The 24,735-nt window shown below is 48.6% G+C and overlaps 1 protein-coding gene and 1 long non-coding RNA gene across 5 annotated transcripts in view, besides 4 other annotated features; one reads left to right on the top strand and one right to left on the bottom strand.

The window, feature by feature from the left end:
- The window catches only part of LOC107984406 (uncharacterized), a 51,792-nt gene extending 36,656 nt beyond the window's left edge, over nucleotides 1–15,136 (bottom strand). The window contains exon 1 of the long non-coding RNA XR_001748429.3: nucleotides 14,803–15,136. This is a non-coding gene — a long non-coding RNA (uncharacterized LOC107984406). The remainder of the gene's footprint in view (nucleotides 1–14,802) is intronic.
- Nucleotides 8,555–9,177: an enhancer, noted in NCBI's record as "H3K4me1 hESC enhancer chr11:124767654-124768276 (GRCh37/hg19 assembly coordinates)". NCBI's record gives its function as "activates a minimal SCP1, AML or CMV promoter by ChIP-STARR-seq in primed H9 embryonic stem cells {active_cell/tissue: H9 hESC(primed)}" and the evidence as "EXISTENCE:reporter gene assay evidence [ECO:0000049][PMID:30033119]".
- ROBO4 (roundabout guidance receptor 4) lies at nucleotides 9,070–23,244 on the top strand. Of its 4 annotated transcripts, none has more exons than NM_001301088.2 (18): nucleotides 9,070–9,209; nucleotides 9,880–10,003; nucleotides 10,265–10,422; nucleotides 10,617–10,737; nucleotides 11,023–11,150; nucleotides 11,250–11,478; nucleotides 11,742–11,854; nucleotides 12,566–12,734; nucleotides 12,890–13,075; nucleotides 13,205–13,247; nucleotides 15,133–15,269; nucleotides 15,373–15,636; nucleotides 19,095–19,202; nucleotides 19,436–19,577; nucleotides 19,722–19,958; nucleotides 20,113–20,471; nucleotides 21,688–21,894; nucleotides 22,022–23,244. In NM_001301088.2, the coding sequence occupies exons 3-18, from the start codon at nucleotides 10,300–10,302 to the stop codon at nucleotides 22,042–22,044; spliced, it is 2,589 nt and encodes an 862-aa protein (NP_001288017.1). In that variant the 5' UTR covers nucleotides 9,070–9,209; nucleotides 9,880–10,003; nucleotides 10,265–10,299; the 3' UTR covers nucleotides 22,045–23,244. The 4 variants fall into 4 exon arrangements, with proteins under 4 accessions (NP_001288017.1, NP_001428112.1, NP_061928.4 ...); NM_001441183.1 differs by having other exon boundaries at nucleotides 9,674–10,003; nucleotides 19,836–19,958; NM_019055.6 differs by having other exon boundaries at nucleotides 9,674–10,003.
- Nucleotides 19,749–20,262: an enhancer, noted in NCBI's record as "H3K4me1 hESC enhancer chr11:124756569-124757082 (GRCh37/hg19 assembly coordinates)". NCBI's record gives its function as "activates a minimal SCP1, AML or CMV promoter by ChIP-STARR-seq in naive H9 embryonic stem cells {active_cell/tissue: H9 hESC(naive)}" and the evidence as "EXISTENCE:reporter gene assay evidence [ECO:0000049][PMID:30033119]".
- Nucleotides 20,263–20,777: an enhancer, noted in NCBI's record as "H3K4me1 hESC enhancer chr11:124756054-124756568 (GRCh37/hg19 assembly coordinates)". NCBI's record gives its function as "activates a minimal SCP1, AML or CMV promoter by ChIP-STARR-seq in naive H9 embryonic stem cells {active_cell/tissue: H9 hESC(naive)}" and the evidence as "EXISTENCE:reporter gene assay evidence [ECO:0000049][PMID:30033119]".
- Nucleotides 23,868–24,162: a silencer, noted in NCBI's record as "tiled region #10426; K562 Repressive non-DNase unmatched - State 21:Repr". NCBI's record gives its function as "represses a minimal TATA promoter and a strong SV40 promoter by Sharpr-MPRA in K562 cells {active_cell/tissue: K562}" and the evidence as "EXISTENCE:reporter gene assay evidence [ECO:0000049][PMID:27701403]".

Genomic DNA, 24,735 nt, shown 5'->3' with positions numbered 1-24,735 from the left:
CATGGAATGCCTTATCCACCATCATGGTATTCCACATAGCATTGCCTCTCACAAAGGCACTCACTTTACATCTAAAGAAGTGCAGCAGTGGGCTCATGCTCATAGAATTCACTAATCTTACCATGTTCCCCATCATCCTGAAGCAGCTGCATTGATGGAACAGTGGAATGGCCTTTTGAAGTCACAATTACAACGCCAACTAGGTGACAATACTTTGCAGGGCTGGGGCAAAGTTCTCCAGAAAACTGTGCATGCTCTAAATCAGTGTCCAATATATGGTACTGTTTCTCCCATAGCCAGGATTAATGGGTCCAGGAATCAGGGGTGGGGGCACAAGTGGCACCACTCACCATTACCCCTAATGACCCACTAGCAAAATTTTGCTTTCTGTTCCCGTGACATTACGTTCTGCTGGCCTAGAGGTCTTAGTTCCAGAAGGAGGAACGCTGCCACCAGGAGACACAACAATGATTTCATTAAACTGGAAGTTAAGATTGCCACCTGGACACTTTGGGTTCCTCCTACCTTTAAGCCAACAGGGTGAGAAGGGAGTTACAGTTTTGGTTGGGGAGACTGACCCCGACTTTCAAGATGAAATCAGTCTACTACTCCACAACGGAGGTAAGAAAGAGTATGCATGGAATACAGAAGATCCATTAGGGTGTCTCTTAGTATTACCATGCCCTGTGATTAAGGTCAATGGAAAACTACAACAGCCCGATCCAAGCAGGACTACAAATGGCCCAGACCCTTCAGGAATGAAGGTTTGGGTCACTCCATCAGGAAAAAAACCACAACCTGCTGAGGTGCTTGCTGAAGGCAAAGGGAATACAAAATAGTAGTAGAAGGCAGTCACCAATACCAGCTAGGACCACATGACCAGCTGCAGAAACAAGGACTATAATTGTCATGTACTTCTTTTGTTAAAAACATGTTTGTGCATGTATACACTTGTACTAAGAAAACATCATCATTTTATTTCCTTTTTTTAAAATCATGTGACATAAAATTTATTGGCTTCATATCAGCATTTAAGTATTGTTAACTTTATGTAGTAGCATTTGGGTCGGGGATTGGTGCATTTCTGGTTGCACAACTGACAGTTGTATTATGTTAGGCATAATTATGACCTTATTATTGTCTTTATTTGAAGATTATATATGATCTCAGGAGATTGCGTATGGATTCAAGTTGACAAGGGGTGGACTTGTGATGGTTAATAGTGAGTGTCAATTTGATTGGCTTGAAGGATGCAAAGTATTTTTCCTGGGTGTTTATGTGAGGGTGTTGCCAAAGGAGTTTAATATTTGGGTCAGTGGACTGGGAAAGGAAGACCCATCCTTAATCTGGGTGAGCACAATCTAATCAACTGCCAGCGTGGCCAGAATAAAAACCAGGCAGAAGAATGTGGATTAACTAGACTGGCTTAGCCTCCCAGCCTACATCTTTCTCCCATGTTGGATGCTTCCTGCCCTAGAACATCAGACTCCAAGTTCTTCAGCTTTGGGACTCAGACTGGCTTCCTTGCTCCTCAGCTTGCAGATGGCCTATTTTGGGACCTTGTGATTGTGTGAATTAATACTCCTTAACAAACTCCCATATATACACACACACACACACACACACACATACATACATATATCTACATCTATATATATATACATATACATATATGTATATGTAAATCTATACATATACATATATGTATATGTAAATCTATACATATACATATATGTATATGTAAATCTATACATATACATATATGTATATGTAAATCTATACATCTATAAATATACATACATATATATATATCCTATTAGTTCTGTCTCTCTAGAGAACCCTGACCAATACAGTCACTATATAATGATAACATTTCAAATAGCAAGAGGGCATAGCAACTCTAACTATATTTGCACCCAACACTTGAGCACCCAAATATATAAAGCAAATATTATTAGAGCTAAAGACAGAGATAGAAAATAAAAGTTATAGACTTTAACACCTCACTTTCAGAATTGGATAGATCTCCCAGACAGAAAATTAAAAAGGAAACATTGGACTTAATCTGTGCTATAGACCAAATGGACCTAACAGAATATTTACAGAACATTTTATCCAATGGCTACAGAATACACACCCTTCTCCTCAGCATGAAGATCATTCTCAAGGATATGCCATGTGTTAAGCCACAAAACAAGTCTTAAAAATCCAAAAGCATTGAAATAACATCAAGTATCTTCTTTGACCACAATGTAATAAAACTAGAAATCAACATGAGACTTGGAGCAGATGAACATCCAAACTATATCATGAGAGAACAAAATCAGTTTGAAAACTTAGGCAAAGTGGAAAATTGTCCAGAAAAATGTATCATACTAAAACTGACTAAAAAAGAATTAAAATATTGAATAGTCTTGTTATTATTAAAGAAATTGTGCCAGAAAAAAATTAAAATCATCCTATTTAAAAAATCAGCTTAAATGTTTTTTCAGGAGAGTTCTACCAAACATTCAAGCAACAGATATTTTCCATTATATATAAAATATTGCAGGAAATTTAAAAAGTGTGAATACTTTTGAACTCATCCTTTGAGATTGGCGCAACCGTGATATCAAAATGAAACAAGGAAAGTAAGAGGAAAAAAATTATAGGTCAATTTCATGAACATAGATGCAAGCCATTCTAAACAAAATATAAGCAAGTGAATCCAAGAATGTTTAAAAGGGGTATCTATCATGACCAAACTCTATTTTTCCCAGGAATGCAAGAATAATTTAACATTAGCAAATTCATAAATATCATTTGCCACATTAGCAGATTAAAGGAGACAAACTATCTCAATAGATGCCCAAAAAAAGCACTTGTAAACTTTAATACTTAATTATGATTAAGATCTCTTAACAAACTAGAAGTAAAGGAAACTTGTAAAACCTGATAAATAGTATCCATAAAAGCTAACAACAAACATCATTCTTAATGGTGAAACACAAGAAACATTCCTTTTAAAATGAAGAAGTAAATAAAGATGCAATCACTCCTATTCAACATTGTACTGGTAAAGTGAGAAAAAGAAATAACAATATAAAGTTTGGAAATAAAAAACCAAAACTGTCACATATTCAGATTTTATGACTTTCTACATAGAAAATTCAAAAGAATCTACAAACCATTATTTCTAATATCAGGATATCTCAGTTCTTTATTGCCCTGTAACAAACCACCCCAATATTGTGTGACTTAATAGCGTTTCATTTGTTTGCAGTTCTTTGTGTCAGCAATTTGCCTACTCAGGTGGGCAATTCATTTGCTGGTGCTGCCTGTGGTCACTATATTATCTAGGGATTTGAACTGGAGCTGGACACCTTGGATAGCCTCATTCACACGTCTGGTGATTGATGCTGGCTGTTGGCTAAAAGAGTTCATCTCTGCTCTATGTGGCTAACCCAAGCTTCTTCACATGGTCATCTTAGGAAGTGTTTCAATAGGGAAAAGCAGAAGCCACAAAGCTTCTTAAGGCTTACTCTTGGAAGTTCTGTGGTATCACTTCTACTCTATTCTGTGGGCCAAAGCAATTCACAAGGCCAGCCCAGCTTCAGGGGGCTGGAAAATAGATTTTATTCTTCATGAGACAGGAAAAAAGCATTGTAAATGGATATGCATCAGGATGGTAGGGATTATTGCAGCTATCTTTACAGATAATCTGCAACACAATGTTTAACAAGTATGCTAATAATACATTTAGCAAAATATGTGTAAAATCTATATAGTGTGAATTATAAAACTTTATTAAAATACATTGTAGAAGATCTAAAGTTAAAAAGAGGTACACATGTTCCTGAATATGAAGACTTAAATGTTAGTTCTTTCTATAGATTCAAACAATTCCAATAAAAATTCCACAATATTTTCAAAGAACTTAACAAGCAGAAGACCCAAGAATAGCCAAGATACTCCTGAAAAAAGAAAGGAGGGAGGAGAAACACCCTACCAGATAGCAAAACTTATTATATAGCTCTAGTAATAGATAAAGTGTGGTATTCATGCAGGAATAGACAATAGGTTAATGAAACAAGCTATGTATACATGAACATTTGATGTATGAATGAATCATAGCAGGTCACTGGGATTAAGCAATGAATAGGGCTGGGATAATAGGCTACCATCTGAAAAAAATATATCCCTACATCAAGCCATATAAAATAATCAATTAGCGATAGTTCAAAAATTGTAGTGTAAAATGTTTAAACTTTTAGAAGAAAATATGGAATAATATATTTACTTTAGTGTAGATGAAGTTTTCTTTAAAAGTAGAAAGAATACACTAAACATAAAAATAAATATTAATAACTTTACAGTAAAATTAACAACTTCTGTTATATCATAAAGAAATAAAATATGAGATCAAACTTGTTTTTACAACATCTTTAATCCACAGAGAATTATTACCCAGAATACATAAAAACTCCTAAGAGTTATTGAGAAAAAGACAAATAAGCAATAGAAAAGTGGGCAAAAGGTAGAAGTAGATATTTCCCAGAAGATAAAACCTAAACTGTGAGTAAACCCTTGAAAAGATGCTCAGCTTCATTATTTTTTAACGAGGCAATGCAAATTAGACAACTATAAAATATCACTTCTTCTAGTAAAGTCGCAAAAATTAAGAAGTCCACCAACTGCTCTGAGGACGTGGCTCAAGGACATTGGTACAATTGACTCGGGAAACATCTGCTAATTTCATCAAAAGTGGAATATTTGTACATCTCAAGACCTAGGTATTCTACTCCTAGGTTTATTTTCTAGAGAAACTCTTAACTGGTTATACTAGGGGATATATAAAATAGAGATTCAGAGCAGCACTGTTTATAATAGAAAAAGAACCACTTGATATACTACATATTCAAGAAAAAGACCCACTTGATATACTACAAAGACACTCCTCTGCAAAGAATCATTGCATGTCCTTTCTTCCCAACAGCACCCAATTTTGAGTGAAGCCTCACTTCCCTGGACCCTCCACGAAATCACCCAATCAAAGCCCAAATCCTAGAATAGGTTCTTTCTAACATCTCTCTTACTTAGACATTCCATAGTTCTCCATGGCATGCACTCTCTCAAGCTGCAAGAAGTAAATCAACTTGTTCAACAATAGGTATGTTCCTGATGGTCTTTGACTGGAGGGCATTGACAGGGTGAACACAAAGCACAGTAACAGATCTCCCCTTCTTCCTGGACATGTGAGCAAATGGTTAAATATTGATGTCAGCAGCCCTTGAAATCTCCAACTGGGCAATGTTTAAGCTAGGTGTGATCCATAGTCATTGGTGTCGAGAAAGTTAAGAAAATGTAGGGTTGAGAGTATTCGATGTGATTTTAGATTCCAAGCACCTAAAATCACCCATGATGTTGATGGGACCAGAAACTAGGGAATAGATGCTGTCCAGTGAAGTGGCCTTAGGGTGAGTTTTCCAGCCAGCTAAGAGGAGGTTTTTACTGTCTTCTCTCTTGACTCAATTTCCCTCCAGCTGTTGGCATCTTGGAACAAACTTGAGAATTTATAGATTGAGACCAAGCAGACTCAAGCAAAAAAGGGGAAAAAACAAGAAGGCAAAAAGTGTGAGTCTCAAATCCAAAAAGAGTATCAAGGGGTAGCTGGGACTGGCTATGGCTGTGTTGGTCAGGCATGCTGATCCCAGAACACTCAAAGGACAACTAACACATATCTAGTGTTTTCAGAGAACTTTCATGTCCATTGTCTGTAAACCTCATGCAGACATTTTACAAATGAGGGCAGTGGGACTCAGAGAGGTTATGTGACTTACTCAAGATTTCTCTGCCAATAAGAAGTGGAAGCAGGATCTCAACCCCAGTGTAACTGACTCCAAATCCCACCTGAGTTTATCCCTTTTTCTCCACCAGCTTGGCCAGCAGGAGTCTCAGATTGCATCTTCAGAGATCACAGAGCAGAAAGCCAAAGAAGCCAGGAGCCAGACATTGAAGAGAAATTTCCTCTGGAGGCTTGCTCAGAAGGGCACCTGGTGCTTCCCCTCTCTTCTCCCTCTTACAAGCAACGAAGGGGGAGTTAGAAAACACAAAACACCAGAACTAGGGATGAAGGAAGGCACTGCTTAAACTGGTCACCAGGACAGCACATCACCAGAGCCCCAGAACAGAGCTTCTCTGAAATAGCAATTGGGGCGGCTCCCACCAAGCCACATCATCCCCATGACTCATGCAGTCGGCTCTTCCTTAGTTTGTGGAAATGAGACAATGAGGATGCGGATGCACCAGGTTGCTGGAAATGAGCCCTGCAGTCTCTGGGAGCCATCCAGACATACCCTACTGTTGGGAAGTCCCCTCGGCCACCACCGCATGTCACTCTGAGTGCCCTGGAGAAAAAGTTCTAGTGTCCTGCAGGAACAACTGAGGAATCTGCCCCTCCAATCACCTTCAGGTGTTAGCACCTAGCTCTCCAAAACCTGGGAGTAGGGTGAGGCTCTGCTGAAGGTGATCTCCAGGCACGGGGCATGTGACTGTGGGGCAGGGGACATTCCTCGGGCTGCAGGAGCCTCTGGGGCTCTGTCCCTGCGGTGCACACAGACCGTTTCACCTCTCCTTTCTCACCCTGCTGAGGACGGGGCTAGTGATGGATTGGAATTCCTTTGAGATTTGCCTTATTTTCCCCTGAGGGAAACCTAGCGTCTTTCTGGATTGTGGAGACTGGAGTAAAATCCAGTTGGCATTAAAACATTAGCGAGCACTTAATTAGTGTCCCCAAAACCAATGTAGAAGCAGAGGAGACTAAAAGCAGACTGCTGACAGTGACATTCTTGATAAGCTGATAGTCAGGGAGTCAGACAGTCTTGGAGGCTTTGTACCTGGGAAATCCCAAATTGGCCTCCTGTGCAGTAAATCCTCCAATCCCACCACATCCTTTCCTGTCTCATCCTCAGCTGACTTCAGTGTCACATGAATCTCCCCTTCATCACTCTGGCCCCACAGATCCTTGACCCCATAAACTCGACTCCATTCTGCCTGCCCCACAATAAATACACGTTAGCTCAGCTTTACGGATCACTCATAATGCATCAGGCACTGGATGCCAGTGGTTTTATGCTTTATGTATTTCATCATTACTTTATCCCTCAAGGTAGGAACTACTATTACTATTTCCATTTTACAGAGAACTACTATTACTATTTCCATTTTACAGATTTGCCCAAGGTCTCCACAGAAGCTGATTTCATCCATCTCTGAGCTGAATATGGACACATCCTGTGGGAATCTCCCAGCTTATCCCAGACGCTCTGAGTCCTTCTTGTCTCCCACCCTACTCCACCTAGTGGTCCATCTGCCCCTGGGGAAATGGACCAGGGCGTTACAATCCACCCCTGCTCCACTTCACTCAGCCTCTCCAGCCTGCAGCCCCACTGCCCTCTGTCCTCAGCTTCTTGCTGTGTCCTGAGACTCCCGGGGTTTTCATTCCTCTCTAGCAGGTGGTAAAGGGATAAGGATTGGGATCCAGGGATAAGATTTAAATAGAGGATTAAGGCTCTGATTGGAGTTATGGTTAGTGTAAGGATACACCCACAGAATTTGGGGTAGGAATTGGGGCCAGAGAACAGAATTTGGGATTTCAGAATTAGAGGTGCCAAGGGTAGTGACATTCTGTTCTCTGGCCCCAATTCCTATCCTTCCAGCTCTGCCACTCCATGACTTTCACTCTGCCTATTCTTTAGCCTCTGCAAACTCCCCAGTTTGTAGAGACCATGGTGTTTCCTTGCTCCAGTTCTGTCTTTGTCAGTATTGGTCTGAGTTTGAGAGGAAAGAGGAGGAGTGAAGGAGACTTCTACTTGGCAGGCTGTTAGTCTGTGGCTGGCACCGAAGCCAGGATGGGAAGGGGGAGGAAGGGAGGGCGTCAGCTGGGTTAGGGGCCCTGCAGAGAAGCTGGCCAGGAACAATTGGGAACAAAGGCTGGATACTCTTCCGCTGAGCCCCAGAGCCTGGCCTTGGCCTTCCGGGAACAGCTCCAGGAAATGGCTGAGATTCCAGATTTGGAAGGAAGAGGCCAGTAAACATGAGCTGGGATCTGACAGGGGAGTGTGGCCTCTGTCTAGGTTGTGGGGGAAAGGAGGCAGCGGGCAAGAGCTGACATTGTAGGCTCAAAACCTGCAAGGCCTGTCTGCTACATATATGGACACAGGCTCTTGGGACTGGAAAGACTCTTAAAAGGTCTTTTACTCCAACCACCTTTCCAGGGCCTGAAAAATACTCCTGCCGAGGATCCTCCAATAGTTTCAGTGATGGGATGGGCCTAAAAAGAAATACACAATGTTGGCTCAGCTTTACGGATCACTCATAATGAGTCAGGCACTGGATGCCAGTGGTTTTATGCTTTATGTGTTTCATCATTACTTTATCCCTCAAGGTAGGAACTACTATTATTATTTCCATTTTACAGAGAAGGAAACTGACTTGCCCAAGTTCTCCACAGAAGCTTATTTCATCCATCTCTGAGCTGAATATGGACACACCCTGTGGTAATCTCCCAGCTTGTCCCAGATGCTGAGTCCTTCCTGTCTCCCACCCTACGCCACCTCCTGGTCCATCTGGCACTGGGGAAATGGATGAGGGTGTTACAATCCACCCCTGCTCCACTTCACTCAGCCTCCCCAGCCTGCAGCCCCACTGCCCTCTGTCTTCAGCTTCTTGCTGTGTCCTGAGACTCCTGGGGTTTTCACTCTTCTCTAGCAGGTGTCAAAGGGATAAGGATTGGGATCCAGGGATAAGATTTAAATAGAGGATTAAGGCTCTGATCGGAGTTTTGGTTAGTGTAAGGATACCCTGTAAGAAATCCCCGAGTAGATCATGAGATAAAGCTTAGCGCTGAAGTTAGGGTCGGGGGTTATAGCTAAATGGTCGAGGTCAGAGAGTTTCTCGCCTCTGGTCTCCTCCCAGTTCTCCAAGGCACTGAGGGCCAGGCAGGAAGCATCGGTTTCCTCAAAGCCGCTTCCCTCCTGGGGCAGAGTCTCGGTCACAAACAACCACCACCGGCCCACCCCGCCCCTCCTTCCCTCTTCACTGTGAGCTCAGAGCAGCAGGACAAAGTGCTCGGGACAAGGACATAGGGCTGAGAGTAGCCATGGGCTCTGGAGGAGACAGCCTCCTGGGGGGCAGGGGTTCCCTGCCTCTGCTGCTCCTGCTCATCATGGGTGAGTTGCTCTCCCTCTCCTGGCCCATGCTCCTCCATCCAAGGCCTGCTCAGGGCAGAAGGGGCCTGCTGACTGCCTGCTTCCCTTTTGCAGTGGGGGGACCAGAGATGAGGATGAGGATGATGATGATGAGTGTGTGTAAGTGTATGTGTGTTTGTGCATGTGCGCACACACCAGAGAGAGAAAGAAGGAAAGAGAGACTGAGAGAGAAAGAAAGAAAGAGAGAAAGTAAGAGAGAGAGAGAGAGAGAGAGAGCGAACATGCTATGCAAGCCCTGGCCTGGATGCTGTGCATGCTGGCCCTCTCTCCTCCTAGCTGGCTTGTTCTTTGGGAGGCAACCTTTAGTAGTTCAGATTACAGGTTTTCTGGCAAACTCGCACACAAGAGAAGACAGATGAGGGGTGGGCCAGGAATTTGGGGTGTTGCTGGTGATCAGACTGGGCTCTGCTCCCTTTCCCTCCCAGGAGGCATGGCTCAGGACTCCCCGCCCCAGATCCTAGTCCACCCCCAGGACCAGCTGTTCCAGGGCCCTGGCCCTGCCAGGATGAGCTGCCAAGCCTCAGGCCAGCCACCTCCCACCATCCGCTGGTTGCTGAATGGGCAGCCCCTGAGCATGGTGCCCCCAGACCCACACCACCTCCTGCCTGATGGGACCCTTCTGCTGCTACAGCCCCCTGCCCGGGGACATGCCCACGATGGCCAGGCCCTGTCCACAGACCTGGGTGTCTACACATGTGAGGCCAGCAACCGGCTTGGCACGGCAGTCAGCAGAGGCGCTCGGCTGTCTGTGGCTGGTGAGGCCTGGGAGGGGAGCTTCAGGGTGGGGCAAACCTGGGTGGAGACATCTGAGCTGAATGTTCAAGGGAACATCTGAGAGGTCAGTGGGATACCTGTGAGCAGAGGCCTGGGCTGGAAGGCTTGGGAGGGCAAGCTGGGGCGGGGCTGGCCCTAAATGGGAGGCCAGGAAGGTGGGCAAAGCAGAAGGGGGCAAGAGTGATAAGGGAGAGAGAAGAGGCCTGGGCCCTGCTCCGTGTCACCTTCCATCCTCCCCACAGTCCTCCGGGAGGATTTCCAGATCCAGCCTCGGGACATGGTGGCTGTGGTGGGTGAGCAGTTTACTCTGGAATGTGGGCCGCCCTGGGGCCACCCAGAGCCCACAGTCTCATGGTGGAAAGATGGGAAACCCCTGGCCCTCCAGCCCGGAAGGCACACAGTAAGTGTGGCCCCCTCCCCCACACTTCATCCTGGCCTGGGCAGACCTGGGTACACCCTGATGGACTGACCTGCCGTCCAGCCCCGCATCCTCCGGTAGAATTTGAGGAGGGGAGAGCAGGGGGCCTCAAACTTCCCCCCAGCTCAGAGCCCCTCCCCACATAGGAGACTTCACAGTGAACCTGGCCCTGACAGGTGTCCGGGGGGTCCCTGCTGATGGCAAGAGCAGAGAAGAGTGACGAAGGGACCTACATGTGTGTGGCCACCAACAGCGCAGGACATAGGGAGAGCCGCGCAGCCCGGGTTTCCATCCAGGGTAAGGGCAGGGGTGGGCTACAATCAGAGCCAGGCTGCAGGCTCCAGTTGGGGTGGTGTATTCTGGTTTGGGCTGGGGTTAAGGTATGTGGGGTCAGGGTCAAAGTGCTGGGGGTCTCACGTAGCGGGAGGTTCCCCCCTGCTAGAGTAGAAATCGGAATGCTCAAGACCTGGAGACTCTGGGAGTTTGGGTTCCCTGGGGTTCCTCCCTGGCTGAGGGATGTTCCACGCCTCAGTTCTGTCACTCTGGCCTATAAGCCCCAGCCCAGCCCTATCCTCCCCACAGAGCCCCAGGACTACACGGAGCCTGTGGAGCTTCTGGCTGTGCGAATTCAGCTGGAAAATGTGACACTGCTGAACCCGGATCCTGCAGAGGGCCCCAAGCCTAGACCGGCGGTGTGGCTCAGCTGGAAGGTGAGGACCAGGTGCTAAGGGTAAAAGCCGATCCAGAGCTCAAGAAAGGGCGTTCCTGAGCTCTCTGACCCCCCGCCCTTCCTCGAAACTCCTTCCCAGGTCAGTGGCCCTGCTGCGCCTGCCCAATCTTACACGGCCTTGTTCAGGACCCAGACTGCCCCGGGAGGCCAGGGAGCTCCGTGGGCAGAGGAGCTGCTGGCCGGCTGGCAGAGCGCAGAGCTTGGAGGCCTCCACTGGGGCCAAGACTACGAGTTCAAAGTGAGACCATCCTCTGGCCGGGCTCGAGGCCCTGACAGCAACGTGCTGCTCCTGAGGCTGCCGGAAAAAGGTCAGGGCCTGATCCCTTCAGAAGCCAACAATATCCCCTCTGGCTCCTTCTTATTTGGGGGCCCCTGGACTGTTCTGCTTCAGTCTTGAGGGGAGATTATGGGTCCTACCCTGGGACTCCCTTCTGCCCTGGCCAGGCCAGCAGAGCTTCAAGAGGCTTCTTGTCTCTTCAGTAGGGTTCTGACGCTGTGTCCCCCAGCCCAGCTCCTTTCCCTAGAGTCCTCTCCCTCAGAGCCCCTCATAGTCTCTCTTCCACCCCTCCAGTGCCCAGTGCCCCACCTCAGGAAGTGACTCTAAAGCCTGGCAATGGCACTGTCTTTGTGAGCTGGGTCCCACCACCTGCTGAAAACCACAATGGCATCATCCGTGGCTACCAGGTACCCCCACTAGCTGTCATAGCCCTTCCTACTGCTGCCAGGACATCTCTTTTCTCTGGAGTTCTGCATACCCTTGCTCTGGGCACTGAGAAAGGTACCTGGGCAGAGAAGCAAAGGAAACCTGCTTTTGCTGAGCAAGGACCCACTGGCTTCCAGACCCTGCCAAGCACTTGACCTCCATGATCCCGTTTTACCTCACAGTCCACCCTGGGGTATTATCCCCAATTTACAGACATGGAAAGTGGGGCAAAGGCCACAGGAATAAGAAACAGAGTAGATCAAACCAGGCTGTGAGTCAGGGAGTGGGGCTCAAAGTTTGACTTCTAGAGCAGCAACATCAGCCTCACCCAGGACCTTGTTAGGAATACAAACCCTCAGATCCTTTCCCAGGCCTCATAAATCAGAAACTCAGAGATGGGCCTGGCAAACTGTACTATAGCAGGCCCCCCTGGTGACTTGGAAGCACGCTGTTGTTTGAGAATTGCTATGTTACATGTGTTTTAGCAGCTTGCTTGTGCCCTTCTACTGTTGATCTAGAGAGAGGTATCTCTCACTTGGTAGGGAGAATAGGAGGGGAATAGGAAATTGGGTGCATTCCCCAAGTGGATGGCAGGGCAGAATAACCACACCCCTGGAGTCTGATCTGCAGATAAAGGGCTTGGCTTCTGGGATGGTGCCTGGGGAAGCTGTTCACCTCTGCTTGTGCCTCAGGTCTGGAGCCTGGGCAACACATCACTGCCACCAGCCAACTGGACTGTAGTTGGTGAGCAGACCCAGCTGGAAATCGCCACCCATATGCCAGGCTCCTACTGCGTGCAAGTGGCTGCAGTCACTGGTGCTGGAGCTGGGGAGCCCAGTAGACCTGTCTGCCTCCTTTTAGGTGAGGGCAGTGCCCACAGACCCACCCTACCCTTCAGCCTGCATCCCGCCTTCCTCTCTCCCTGCTCCCGCCTCACACTTCCAGCTCTTCCCCCTTGCCTGCCAGGCCCTCAATGCCTCGACTCCCTCTCCCTCTGAGCTCTGCATCCCATACAGAGCAGGCCATGGAGCGAGCCACCCAAGAACCCAGTGAGCATGGTCCCTGGACCCTGGAGCAGCTGAGGGCTACCTTGAAGCGGCCTGAGGTCATTGCCACCTGCGGTGTTGCACTCTGGCTGCTGCTTCTGGGCACCGCCGTGTGTATCCACCGCCGGCGCCGAGCTAGGGTGCACCTGGGCCCAGGTGAGAGTCTGAGGGGGACCCACATGTATACAGGCCTCCTCAGCATCCAGCCAGAATGGTGCAGGGGCTTTGGATCTCTGACCAGGTGATCCAGCCTCTGGATTTAGCTTTCCTCCTGCCTTCTCCCAGGTCTGTACAGATATACCAGTGAGGATGCCATCCTAAAACACAGGTGAGAGGTGAAAGGGGAGGTCTGAAGTAAGGGAGGGTGGCAAGGGACAGTGGAGCTGCAACAGAGAAGAATGGAGTACTAGTCTACCTGCCAGGGAGTTTGGGACTGTCGTACATGAATCTCTCCTGTAACTCCAACTGATAGTTCATTTCTCTGTCATTAATATTCCTATCACACCACTTGACAGACTAGTAAACTGAAACTCATAAAACCTTCTAAACCCCCAATCCAGGACTCTTGTCACCCCACCTCTCCTGCTGCCTCACCCGCTAGGTGGAGAATAATCAGCATGAGACGACCACCTCAAATGTCTCATCTTATGCGTGCACCCATGGTCTACCAAGTAGTGCCTTTGCACTCAGTAATTCTCTCACTGAGCCATTGTGCCTACATCATAGTCCACCCGCAGCTCCAGCAGAGGGTGTTCAGTGCCTACATCATAGATTCTTCCTCACTGTTCTCAAAAACAGGATCTGCCCATGGGCCCTTCTGCTTCCGGTATATTCGGCTGCCAGAACAAGTCTGCAGTTCTGGGACATCATGCTGATAGAGAACACATCCTTCTTGCTCCCGTTGTCTGAGTTTTGTACTAAGTAACCGCCTCATCTCTCTGTCTGCCTTCTTGGCTCTTTATTTCGCTAGATCTCCTCTGGGAGGCTTCCCACTCCAGGTCTGCATCTATCCACAGAAGTTACTGAGCACCTACTATGTGCCAGCAAATCCAGGCCTAGAGCTGCCATTTCACTGTCAGGTCCTCAGCCCAGAGCAGGGGTCCAAGCTGGCTGGTGTTGTGTTTTGAGTTTTCTGAGCTCACTGGCTTCTTTCTTCCAGCTACCTCCTGGCTTTGTCTGCTCTGCCTTAAGCTTTCTGTGGCTTCCCTAGGATCTCCTGCTCTGTCCTTGAGGGAGATTCCTTCTGATCTTTGGTTCATTCTTTCCTTTGGAATAGCCTCCACCTGCCAGAATCTCTCAGTGTAGGCAGAGACAGGCATGAGGGGATATGAGTGCAATCCTGTATTGGCCACGCAGAAGCAGGTACAAGACACATGGAGGGGGTCAATGTGGAAAAACATAGGAGAAAGAAGATTCCACATTACCCTGACAGTAAGAAGGGGATGGAGAGAAGAGCAATGAAGCAGCAAGTAATAGCCTGCTATGTCCACAGGGAAAGACAAACCATTTGTTCTGGCTCGGGTATAGGGTGTGAGATGGGTCAGAGCAAAGGCTATAGTTAGGGAGCTGGAAGCCAGACCAAGGAAGGTCCTCTTAGCCATGCTAGGTACCTGGGCTCTATCATGGTAAATGAGGGGCCATTGAAGGTCTTACGCAGAGAAGCTCCTTGCTCAGATCCCTGTTCTTGAAGGATCACTCAGGCAGCCAGAGGCCAATATCCATGGAGCAAGCTCCTGCTCTGCCAGCTGAGTGATCTCACATTTCCTCATATAAACCCAGACCATCAGTCTTGAGTGTGGAAGGCCCTATTGCCATCATTTTACAGATGAGAAAACTGGGGCTTAGAGAGGATGTACTTACCCAAGTGCAACAGATGTACTTACCCAAGCTAAGCTGTGACAGATAGAGATTGTCAAACCAGATTTGTCTTCAGGTCTTCTTTTTACCTCAGCATACATAGCTGTCTGTCATTACTACCTCCCAGCTCTGGGTGACTCGGATTTCCCCTCATCCAGGAATAAGAAAGGGGTGCTGGGTTTAGGGGACCAGGTCAGAGATCTTAAGGAGTCTGTGAAAAGCTGAAAAGCAGTAGTAAGGATAAAGCCACCATCTCCTTGCCCTCTTCTGCTGCCTCTGAACAGGAAGTCTTGGCCAAAAAGGTTCTCACTTCTCCCTGTTTCTCCTGGCCTCACCCCCTCCCTCCACTGCCCCAGGATGGATCACAGTGACTCCCAGTGGTTGGCAGACACTTGGCGTTCCACCTCTGGCTCTCGGGACCTGAGCAGCAGCAGCAGCCTCAGCAGTCGGCTGGGGGCGGATGCCCGGGACCCACTAGACTGTCGTCGCTCCTGTGAGCATGCTCAGTGGGGGCAAGGGCCTAGCTGGGGGCAGTGATCTCAGGGATGGAAAGCAGGACATGCTCACCATAATTCCTCCTGTCATTTATGTCACAGTGCTCTCCTGGGACTCCCGAAGCCCCGGCGTGCCCCTGCTTCCAGACACCAGCACTTTTTATGGCTCCCTCATCGCTGAGCTGCCCTCCAGTACCCCAGCCAGGCCAAGTCCCCAGGTCCCAGCTGTCAGGCGCCTCCCACCCCAGCTGGCCCAGCTCTCCAGCCCCTGTTCCAGCTCAGACAGCCTCTGCAGCCGCAGGGGACTCTCTTCTCCCCGCTTGTCTCTGGCCCCTGCAGAGGCTTGGAAGGCCAAAAAGAAGCAGGGTAAGGAGGGGGAGAATAGACATAGACTGAGCTGGTGGTAGGCGGGCCCAGGAATGGGAATGTGATGGGAACAAGGCCTCAAAGCCTGGAGGGGCGTGCAACCTCCACACCCTCCTTCCATTCTCCTCTCCAGGTGGACACAAGACCTCTTTCTCCTACCACCAGAGCACTCAGCTAGGGGTGCAATAGCCTCAGCTTTTTGCACTGTGCTCTTGTTTCAGTTTGGCTACACCAGCAGTGAGCCCTAATTCTGCACTCAATTCAACTCAGCAAACGTTTAATAAGCACCACTGCATGCCAAACATGGGGAACACAAGAGACGTCAGACACAGCCCCTGACTTCTAAGGGCTCAGGGCCTGTCTAACGAAAGTGTTGACTAGCAAACAAGTAATGCTAGAGCCTGGGGGAATGTGACCAGTGCTGGCACAAAGCCTCAGGCTCCCACGAGCTCATCTCCTGGTGTACTATGTACAGGTGTGCTTGGGCACCGACTCCCAACTCACTTCTCAGAGAGGAATGGGTATTTCCTTTCTGGACAGGTTTATCTCCTGACTCCCAGCTGCATTCTTAGACTTTTCAGAGAAAAATAATTATAGCCTCCATTTTTTATCAATTGCTATATACTAGGTGCTTTACTTATGTTTGTTATTTCATTTAATCCTCACAATAGATTGGCTAGCTACTATTTCTCTAATTTTACAGACAGGAAGAGGGTCAGAATGATTGAGTTACTGGTTCAAAATTCTGCAAGTAATTAGCTGCAGGACTCAAATCTGAAGGCAGGATAGTCTGCCTCTGAAGTGATTCTGAGTCTCTCTGGAGCTCCCTCAGGAAATCCTATTCTCTCTTTGAGTATTTTTTCCTATTTCTGGCCTGCAGAACATTGGCCTGCAATCTACCTGCTGTCTTCTTGAGTCTTCTGTACTAATTAGTAAGACCTAACAAATGTTCTACAGCCAAGTCTTTTTTTTAAGTGGATTTAATCCAACTTTTAATAAGACAAAGATGGATTAAGATAATTAACAGCTTGTTCAATATCCAGAATTTTATGACTGTAAATATCAGCGAAGCTGGCATTCTTACCAGCTTTGCCTCAGAGCTATTGCATTATAAATCCTTGGTGGTAACGAAACACCAGCTAAAAAAAAGGTGGAATAGTCTCATTTAAAAAACAGCCTTCCCAGGGAGAACTACACCAACTTTAATGGAATGGATAGCCCCTCTTAGAACAGTAATGCTACTGGAAAGAGGTGAGTGGTTTTCTACAGCCAGTTCTTAAGAAGGGTTCCAATTCTGAGATGAGGCTTCCTAGCCTGTGGTTTAGGTCCTTACTTCACTCCCTGTTTCTCCTCGCTCCAGCCCCATCTCACCACTGCCCCCAGGATAGGTCAACTGCAGCGACTCCTTGGCTGGTAGACACTAGATATTCTACCTCTACCTCCCAGGACCTCAGCAGCAACAAGATCATGCTATGGTCTTCTCCAGACCCATGGAGTTGATTCTACTGCTGTTTCTTCCTCTTCTAAAACTGGCAGGCTCTCCCAGTACCACCCACTCCCCTTGACCTGCTTGTTCCTTTTTCTTATTATTTGGCCTTAGTTGGGGTTTCTTCTCCAGTGCTGATATCCTCACAATTACAGTCTCCTGTCTCTCATCCATCATAGCAGGTTCTTAGTTCTGCTCAGTTTGCCAGATATATGCACTGAATATCCTCATTCATTCATTATTTTATTCAAACAAATATTTATTGCAATTTGACCAATGAGTTTCAACCTTTCACCTTGATAACATTTTTCTTGTCCAGTTTATTCAATTAGAATTGAAACTAAAGTCCAAGTAACTCCAAGCAACATAGGAGGAGGGCTTTTGTTACCAGAGTCCCTTAGAGGAAGTGAAACAGGCTAGGATAAAAGTGGCCTTTTCCAGGCCTGGCTGTTTTCTTTCCCTTTCCACTCAAACCAGCCAACCAACTTGTGCTCATATTTCTGAGCTTAGTCAAGAAGCCAGGCACCAGACAAGACATAGCTGATGATAGCAGAGTTGGTGCACCAACCCTGAAGTTGGCTCCCCAGATTACCTGGGTCATATGAAAGCTATAGAAAATCAATAAAAACCAAACAGCCAAAGTACCAAAGGAAACTTTGACGGAGGGAGTCTAGTCATTGATGAGTTTTCATCCTAAAGGATCAGAAGGTCTGGCCACTAGTACATAAATGGGGTCTTGGTCAATGCCAAAGCCTGGCTCACTTCCCTTCTCTGAAGCTGCCCGTAGTGGCCCCCAGATCTCTGATATGTGACTGACTAGATAGCTCTACCCTGAAGGTCCTGCCTGGTCCCTGGTCCACCAAGAGGGGAAACTCTTTCCTAGCTGGGCTTCTGGTCATGGGACACTAATCTAAAGGCTGTTTCTTTTCTCCTTTGTCTGATGTTCTTCAGGTTCCTGCTCCTGGAAAAATCTCTCTCCTGTATTACCCTATTCCTCTCTGGCTTAAACTTAGATCCCTTTTGCATTCTGGTCTGACCAAGAAGCATGCTCACAGGTCATTGCACATAGTTAGGGCTGTCTCTTTAGTTTCCAGCTTCTCTGTTGTGAAAGTTCACTCAGAGCCCTGTCTCTCCACTGCCCATGTGGGCCAGATGACAGCTTCCATCTTCTAGGTGACTCTTCTCACTGTGTGTTTATATCCACATTTCTGATATCACCCATGCATTCACTCTTTCATTCAACAAAAAGTATGGGCAGGGCATTGCGTCCCTGGGATAGACCAATACCTTTTCCCACTCTGAAGTTCCTCTTCCTATTAGCTGACTGTCTCCTGTCACAGCCAACATTGTGTGTCGATCCCTGTTTTTGTCCTACCCACTCAGCTCAACCTGACAGTCTACCCCATCTTTCAAGTGAGAGACAGTCGAGTTTCCCAGAGCAGGGCTATCCAGAGCCATGTGAGATATTTGCAATGTGAGAAATGGAAATTAATAGATTCTGTCCAAGAAAAGAAGGAGTATTTTTCTTACTGAGCCAAAATTCATGAGAGTAGCAATGTGAGGGTATAGAGATCAGGAAGATTGGAATGAATACAGTCAAGGAAAAGAAAGTTGTTTTTTAAAGCATCTATCAAGGCCAAGAACTTGTGCAATCTGTTTTTACTTAATTGTCAAGACCATCATTCGAAGTGGTTGTTTACACATGAAACTGAGACTCAGAAAGGTACATGGACTGCCCTGAAGTCACACAGCTGAGCTGGGCAGGTCTTTTGACCCCAAGCCTAGTGCTCCTTCTACCCTATCACAGCTGCTGGATGAAGATGGGGGTGTGGAGGGGATTCAGGGGGTTCCCCCTCTTTTCTCTGGGTTCAGGGTCGTGCAGGCTGAATTGAATAAGGCTGAAGATAGAGCCAGCAGCTGGGGTCTGAAAAGTCCATCCTGGGCCCCACAACCACCAACCCTTTCTTTGCAGAGCTGCAGCATGCCAACAGTTCCCCACTGCTCCGGGGCAGCCACTCCTTGGAGCTCCGGGCCTGTGAGTTAGGAAATAGAGGTTCCAAGAACCTTTCCCAAAGCCCAGGTGAGAGGGGGTCCCTGAAAGGGAAGTGAAGGGGTGAGATAGGGTGTAGGGATGCAGGGGCTTACCAGCCCAGGGCCCTCCCACGGGCTCATCCTCCTTTCCCTGAGGAGGCTGATGAGGGTTGGATGGAGTAGTGGACAGGTAGCTAAGGGGGCTGGTGGGCAGGCCGGCAGGCTGAGCTCCAGAGCAGATGGGGATGCCACTGTTCTCACACCCAGGCTTCTCTTCCCCAGGAGCTGTGCCCCAAGCTCTGGTTGCCTGGCGGGCCCTGGGACCGAAACTCCTCAGCTCCTCAAATGAGCTGGTTACTCGTCATCTCCCTCCAGCACCCCTCTTTCCTCATGAAACTCCCCCAACTCAGAGTCAACAGACCCAGTAAGAGGGCATGGGGTCGGGAAGCAGGGCTGGGAGAGTGGGGGTGTGGGGAGTGTGTGCCGGGATTGGACAGGCTGGGGAAGGGGGGAAAGGACTTGAAGAGCTGTAGTAACTACGGTGCCATCACTCTCTCCCGCAAATCAGGCCTCCGGTGGCACCACAGGCTCCCTCCTCCATCCTGCTGCCAGCAGCCCCCATCCCCATCCTTAGCCCCTGCAGTCCCCCTAGCCCCCAGGCCTCTTCCCTCTCTGGCCCCAGCCCAGCTTCCAGTCGCCTGTCCAGCTCCTCACTGTCATCCCTGGGGGAGGATCAAGACAGCGTGCTGACCCCTGAGGAGGTAGCCCTGTGCTTGGAACTCAGTGAGGGTGAGGAGACTCCCAGGTGAGTAGCTTGAGAGATAACCAAAGAACTACAGAAAAGCTGTGGGGGCAAGCGCCTCTCCACCCATTCCGCCCTCCCTCAACTGGGGCTTTTCTGTTACTACAACCCTCATTCCACCCAAACCATTGCTGTCTCCCCTTTTGCCTCTCCCTAGGAACAGCGTCTCTCCCATGCCAAGGGCTCCTTCACCCCCCACCACCTATGGGTACATCAGCGTCCCAACAGCCTCAGAGTTCACGGACATGGGCAGGACTGGAGGAGGGGTGGGGCCCAAGGGGGGAGTCTTGCTGTGCCCACCTCGGCCCTGCCTCACCCCCACCCCCAGCGAGGGCTCCTTAGCCAATGGTTGGGGCTCAGCCTCTGAGGACAATGCCGCCAGCGCCAGAGCCAGCCTTGTCAGCTCCTCCGATGGCTCCTTCCTCGCTGATGCTCACTTTGCCCGGGCCCTGGCAGTGGCTGTGGATAGCTTTGGTTTCGGTCTAGAGCCCAGGGAGGCAGACTGCGTCTTCATAGGTATGTGAGGTCTCCCCATCTTACTCCTCACTCATGCCCCTTGCCTTTCTAACAACTGTTATCATGTCATCATTGTTAAAACAACTAGTTTTATTGAATGATTATTGTATCTCAGGCACTATGATAAGTGCTTTGCATACATTTAATATTGAAAGTCTATGTGGAATATTCTTTATCTCTCTTATCCTAATGAGGAAACTGTAAGTCAGATAATTTTATTGGCTTGCCCAAGTTCACCCACAGAACAAGGACAAATTGTCCAATTCTTTTTGTTTGTTTGTTTGTTTTTGTTTTGTTTGTTTGCCCAGGCAGTGGCATGATCTCAGCTCACTGCAACCTCTGCCTCCCAGGTTCAAGAGATTCTCCTGCCTCAGCCTCCCGAGTAGCTGGGATTACAGGCACCTACCACCATGCCCAGCTAATTTTTTTGTATTTTTAGTAGAGACGGGGTTTCACCATGTTGGCCAGGCTGGTTTTGAACTCCTGACCTCAAGTGATCTACCCACCTCAGCCTCCCAAAGTGTTGGGAGTATAGGCATGAGCCACTGAGCCTGGCCCAAATTGTCCAGTTCTAAAGGCAGCCAACTGTAGGTCCATTTCCCTGCCTCTAGGACTCCCCTCTTACCCCGACTTGAGTCTCCAGGAAAGGTTGCTCCATCCTCTTCCAATCCCATCCTCCTGCCCTGTCCGTGGCTGGGGCTGACGAGCCACTGGGCTCACCTCTGACATTCCCAGCAGAGTGGGACCTTTATCTCCATGTCAGCAGAAGGTAGTACAGGGTCTTGGCTCCTTGGGTGTCCCTTCCCCACATGCACCATCAGATCCCCCATCCCCATTTTACTAACCTTAACTCTATCCTTTGCCCCGACAAAAAAAAAAAAAACAGGCTTGTGGTAAATGGGAGGGCAAGGATTATCCAGGACAGAAGTGCCCATGATGGCAGAAGAAGAATGCCCAGGGAATGGGGATGTGAAGGGACAGTGCAGATAGAAGGCCAGAGCTGGGCTGGAAGGAAACAGTTCAATCACTTCTCCCTAAAGAAACAAATGGATCGGGCCCCTGGGGATGTGGCCTCTGGGACTGATGGGCTGAGTTGGGGTTAGGTTATGTTTAGGGCTGGGTACATGCCCTGAGCTGGTCCTAAGCTTTCTGTACTAAACTGGCCCCTAGGGGCTGAAGGTCAACCTCCCACAGACACCTCTACCCTCCCTGACAGATGCCTCATCACCTCCCTCCCCACGGGATGAGATCTTCCTGACCCCCAACCTCTCCCTGCCCCTGTGGGAGTGGAGGCCAGACTGGTTGGAAGACATGGAGGTCAGCCACACCCAGCGGCTGGGAAGGGGGATGCCTCCCTGGCCCCCTGACTCTCAGATCTCTTCCCAGAGAAGTCAGCTCCACTGTCGTATGCCCAAGGCTGGTGGTGAGTGTCTGTCTTCCTGGCTAATGTGTTCATCTTGACCAGAGGGCCTCTGGGAAGAAGCCAGGAGGAAGCCTGGCACTGGGGAAGGGAGATAAGGAGCAAGGGAGATAACTCCACTGTCCTTCAGCTTCTCCTGTAGATTACTCCTGAACCGTGTCCCTGAGACTTCCCAGACGGGAATCAGAACCACTTCTCCTGTCCACCCACAAGACCTGGGCTGTGGTGTGTGGGTCTTGGCCTGTGTTTCTCTGCAGCTGGGGTCCACCTTCCCAAGCCTCCAGAGAGTTCTCCCTCCACGATTGTGAAAACAAATGAAAACAAAATTAGAGCAAAGCTGACCTGGAGCCCTCAGGGAGCAAAACATCATCTCCACCTGACTCCTAGCCACTGCTTTCTCCTCTGTGCCATCCACTCCCACCACCAGGTTGTTTTGGCCTGAGGAGCAGCCCTGCCTGCTGCTCTTCCCCCACCATTTGGATCACAGGAAGTGGAGGAGCCAGAGGTGCCTTTGTGGAGGACAGCAGTGGCTGCTGGGAGAGGGCTGTGGAGGAAGGAGCTTCTCGGAGCCCCCTCTCAGCCTTACCTGGGCCCCTCCTCTAGAGAAGAGCTCAACTCTCTCCCAACCTCACCATGGAAAGAAAATAATTATGAATGCCACTGAGGCACTGAGGCCCTACCTCATGCCAAACAAAGGGTTCAAGGCTGGGTCTAGCGAGGATGCTGAAGGAAGGGAGGTATGAGACCGTAGGTCAAAAGCACCATCCTCGTACTGTTGTCACTATGAGCTTAAGAAATTTGATACCATAAAATGGTAAAGACTTGAGTTCTGTGAGATCATTCCCCGGAGCACCATTTTTAGGGGAGCACCTGGAGAGATGGCAAGAATTTCCTGAGTTAGGCAGGGATCAGGCATTCATTGACACTCAGGGAGTGTCACACATTTCTGTTCTGCAATTAAAGGGAGAATGAGGTTCATCCACCAAATTTTAAGCAGAATATAGGAAGGGCAGGGGTGGGGAGTTTCAGGGTCTGCTGGTCCTGGCAACTTATATTAAATCCACCTCCTCAAGATAAGCCTTAGGGATATTTATGGCTGAGGGAAGTGGGATGGTCTAAGGCATGGGGAAGGGTGATTGGCTGTGGGGAAAATGAAGTAATAGGTTCATTCTGCCCAAGTGTACTTGGGGTTCATGGCATTTCATAAGGACATTTGTGTAGAAAATTGTTTTGCTGGCTGGGCACGGTGGCTCACGCCTGTAATCCCAGCACTTTGGGAGGCGGAGGTAGGCAGATCATGAGGTCAGGAGATCGAGACCATCCTGGCTAACATGGTGAAACCCCGTCTCTACTAAAAAAAAAAAAAAAATACAAAAAATTAGCCAGGCGTGGTGGCGGGAGCCTGTAGTCCCAGCTACTCAGGAAGCTGAGGCAGGAGAATGGTGTGAACCCGGGAGGCGGAGCTTGCAGTGAGCCGAGATCGCCCACTGCACTCCAGCCTGGGTGAGAGAGAGAGACTCGGTCTCAAAAAAAAAAAAAGAAAAAAAAAAAAGAAAAGAAAATGGTTGTGTTATGATCTGAGGGTGGAGTTTTTGGCCCTCCGATGTCAAAAGGCCACCCCTCGAGCACTTGCAGAGGCCCAGTAGAAAAGTCGGTGGTCTCGATTGGTTTGAGCTGGACAAGAGCTGTCCCAAGTTCCTGAAAAATGACTGTAGCGCCCATTCTCATAGTGACCTATGAATGTTACCTATAAAGTAGCCAGTGAAGGTTGTTTCCACATTCAGCAGCGAGGCCTTCAGCTACCAAAGAAGCTTTGTGCTCCATGGAAAAAGGGAAAAAACAAAAAGCAAGCAGGGCAGGCAGACTTGATCAAATTAACCCCTTGATTTCACCCATCCTGAGGAGAAAACTGCTTTCAGCAGTCCCAGATGGTTTCTTAAAATAGACAAAGCAGCTGAACTCCAGAAAAGGTAGAACCACCTGTCACGGTTGGCTTAGGAACACCCTTCAAAGAAAAAAACAGAACAGAGAGATGAACCTCGAAGCAGGACTTCCAGGGCCTGAGCCACAGGAGGCACTGGAGGGTAGGCAGGCCTGCGTCTTCCTCCCTTGGCGGGAAAGGTCGGGGGCAGAATCCACAAGTTGGTGGAGGGGATGCTACAGAGCATGACAGGGCCACAGGAAGCAGAGCCTAAAAGGGGGTGCTCATCCCTCAAACCCAGCAGCTCTACTTGGAGGCCACTGGGAGTTGAGAGGCTGAATGAGGCAGGACCATGGGGACTGGGGGCTTCCTGAACCACATTAATCAGGACAGTCTGGGCCAGATTTTTGTGATCTCAGGAGGAAGAATCAGTATTCCACATACACATCTGTTCCTCTGTATTTGCTTTTCCTTATCTGGATTTTGTGGCAGTTGCGGGGAGGAGGTTGTTTTGGTTTCTTTTTAGCTTCCTGGTAAAATTCCTTTTGAAAACATCCCAACCCTGTTTGCCAGACTGAAAGGGAAAGAGAGATTTGTACACTCACAGGTCAAAGGGGCAGACGAGGTCAGGGCCTGGGACTGGAGGGCAGCTGCCAATCCCAGAGAGTCCAGGGAAGTCACTGAGTCAAGGGTGGAGCAAGCGAGAAGGAACAAAACCTCAGGTCACCAGTGAGCACACGGGATGCAGGGCAGGAGGTGACGAGGACCACGGCATTCACCACAAAAAAGTCTTAACAGTTCTGTGCCCATCAACCCAATCACATCTGGGCCCACCAAGAGCTGCCCATTTGTACATACCCTCTGTGACGGAGTCAGATGGTTTGAAAAAGCATGCTCTTCCTTCTTGCCTGGGGTTTCTCCCA

The sequence above is a fragment of the Homo sapiens genome, chromosome 11 (assembly GCF_000001405.40).
Source record: "Homo sapiens chromosome 11, GRCh38.p14 Primary Assembly".
In the NCBI taxonomy this organism is placed as follows: domain Eukaryota; kingdom Metazoa; phylum Chordata; class Mammalia; order Primates; family Hominidae; genus Homo; species Homo sapiens.
This window is presented reverse-complemented; position numbering and strand designations above follow the sequence as displayed.

What these genes read in the sequence shown, in the direction of transcription:
- ROBO4 (NM_019055.6), top strand. Translation starts at nt 9,140, where the DNA reads ATGGGCTCTGGAGGAGACAGCCTCCTGGGGGGCAGGGGTTCCCTGCCT. An exon ending in CGGTGTGGCTCAGCTGGAAG is followed by an intron (nt 11,151 to 11,249) that starts GTGAGGACCAGG and finishes ACTCCTTCCCAG; the next exon opens with GTCAGTGGCCCTGCTGCGCC. An exon ending in GGCAGACTGCGTCTTCATAG is followed by an intron (nt 20,472 to 21,687) that starts GTATGTGAGGTC and finishes CCTCCCTGACAG; the next exon opens with ATGCCTCATCACCTCCCTCC.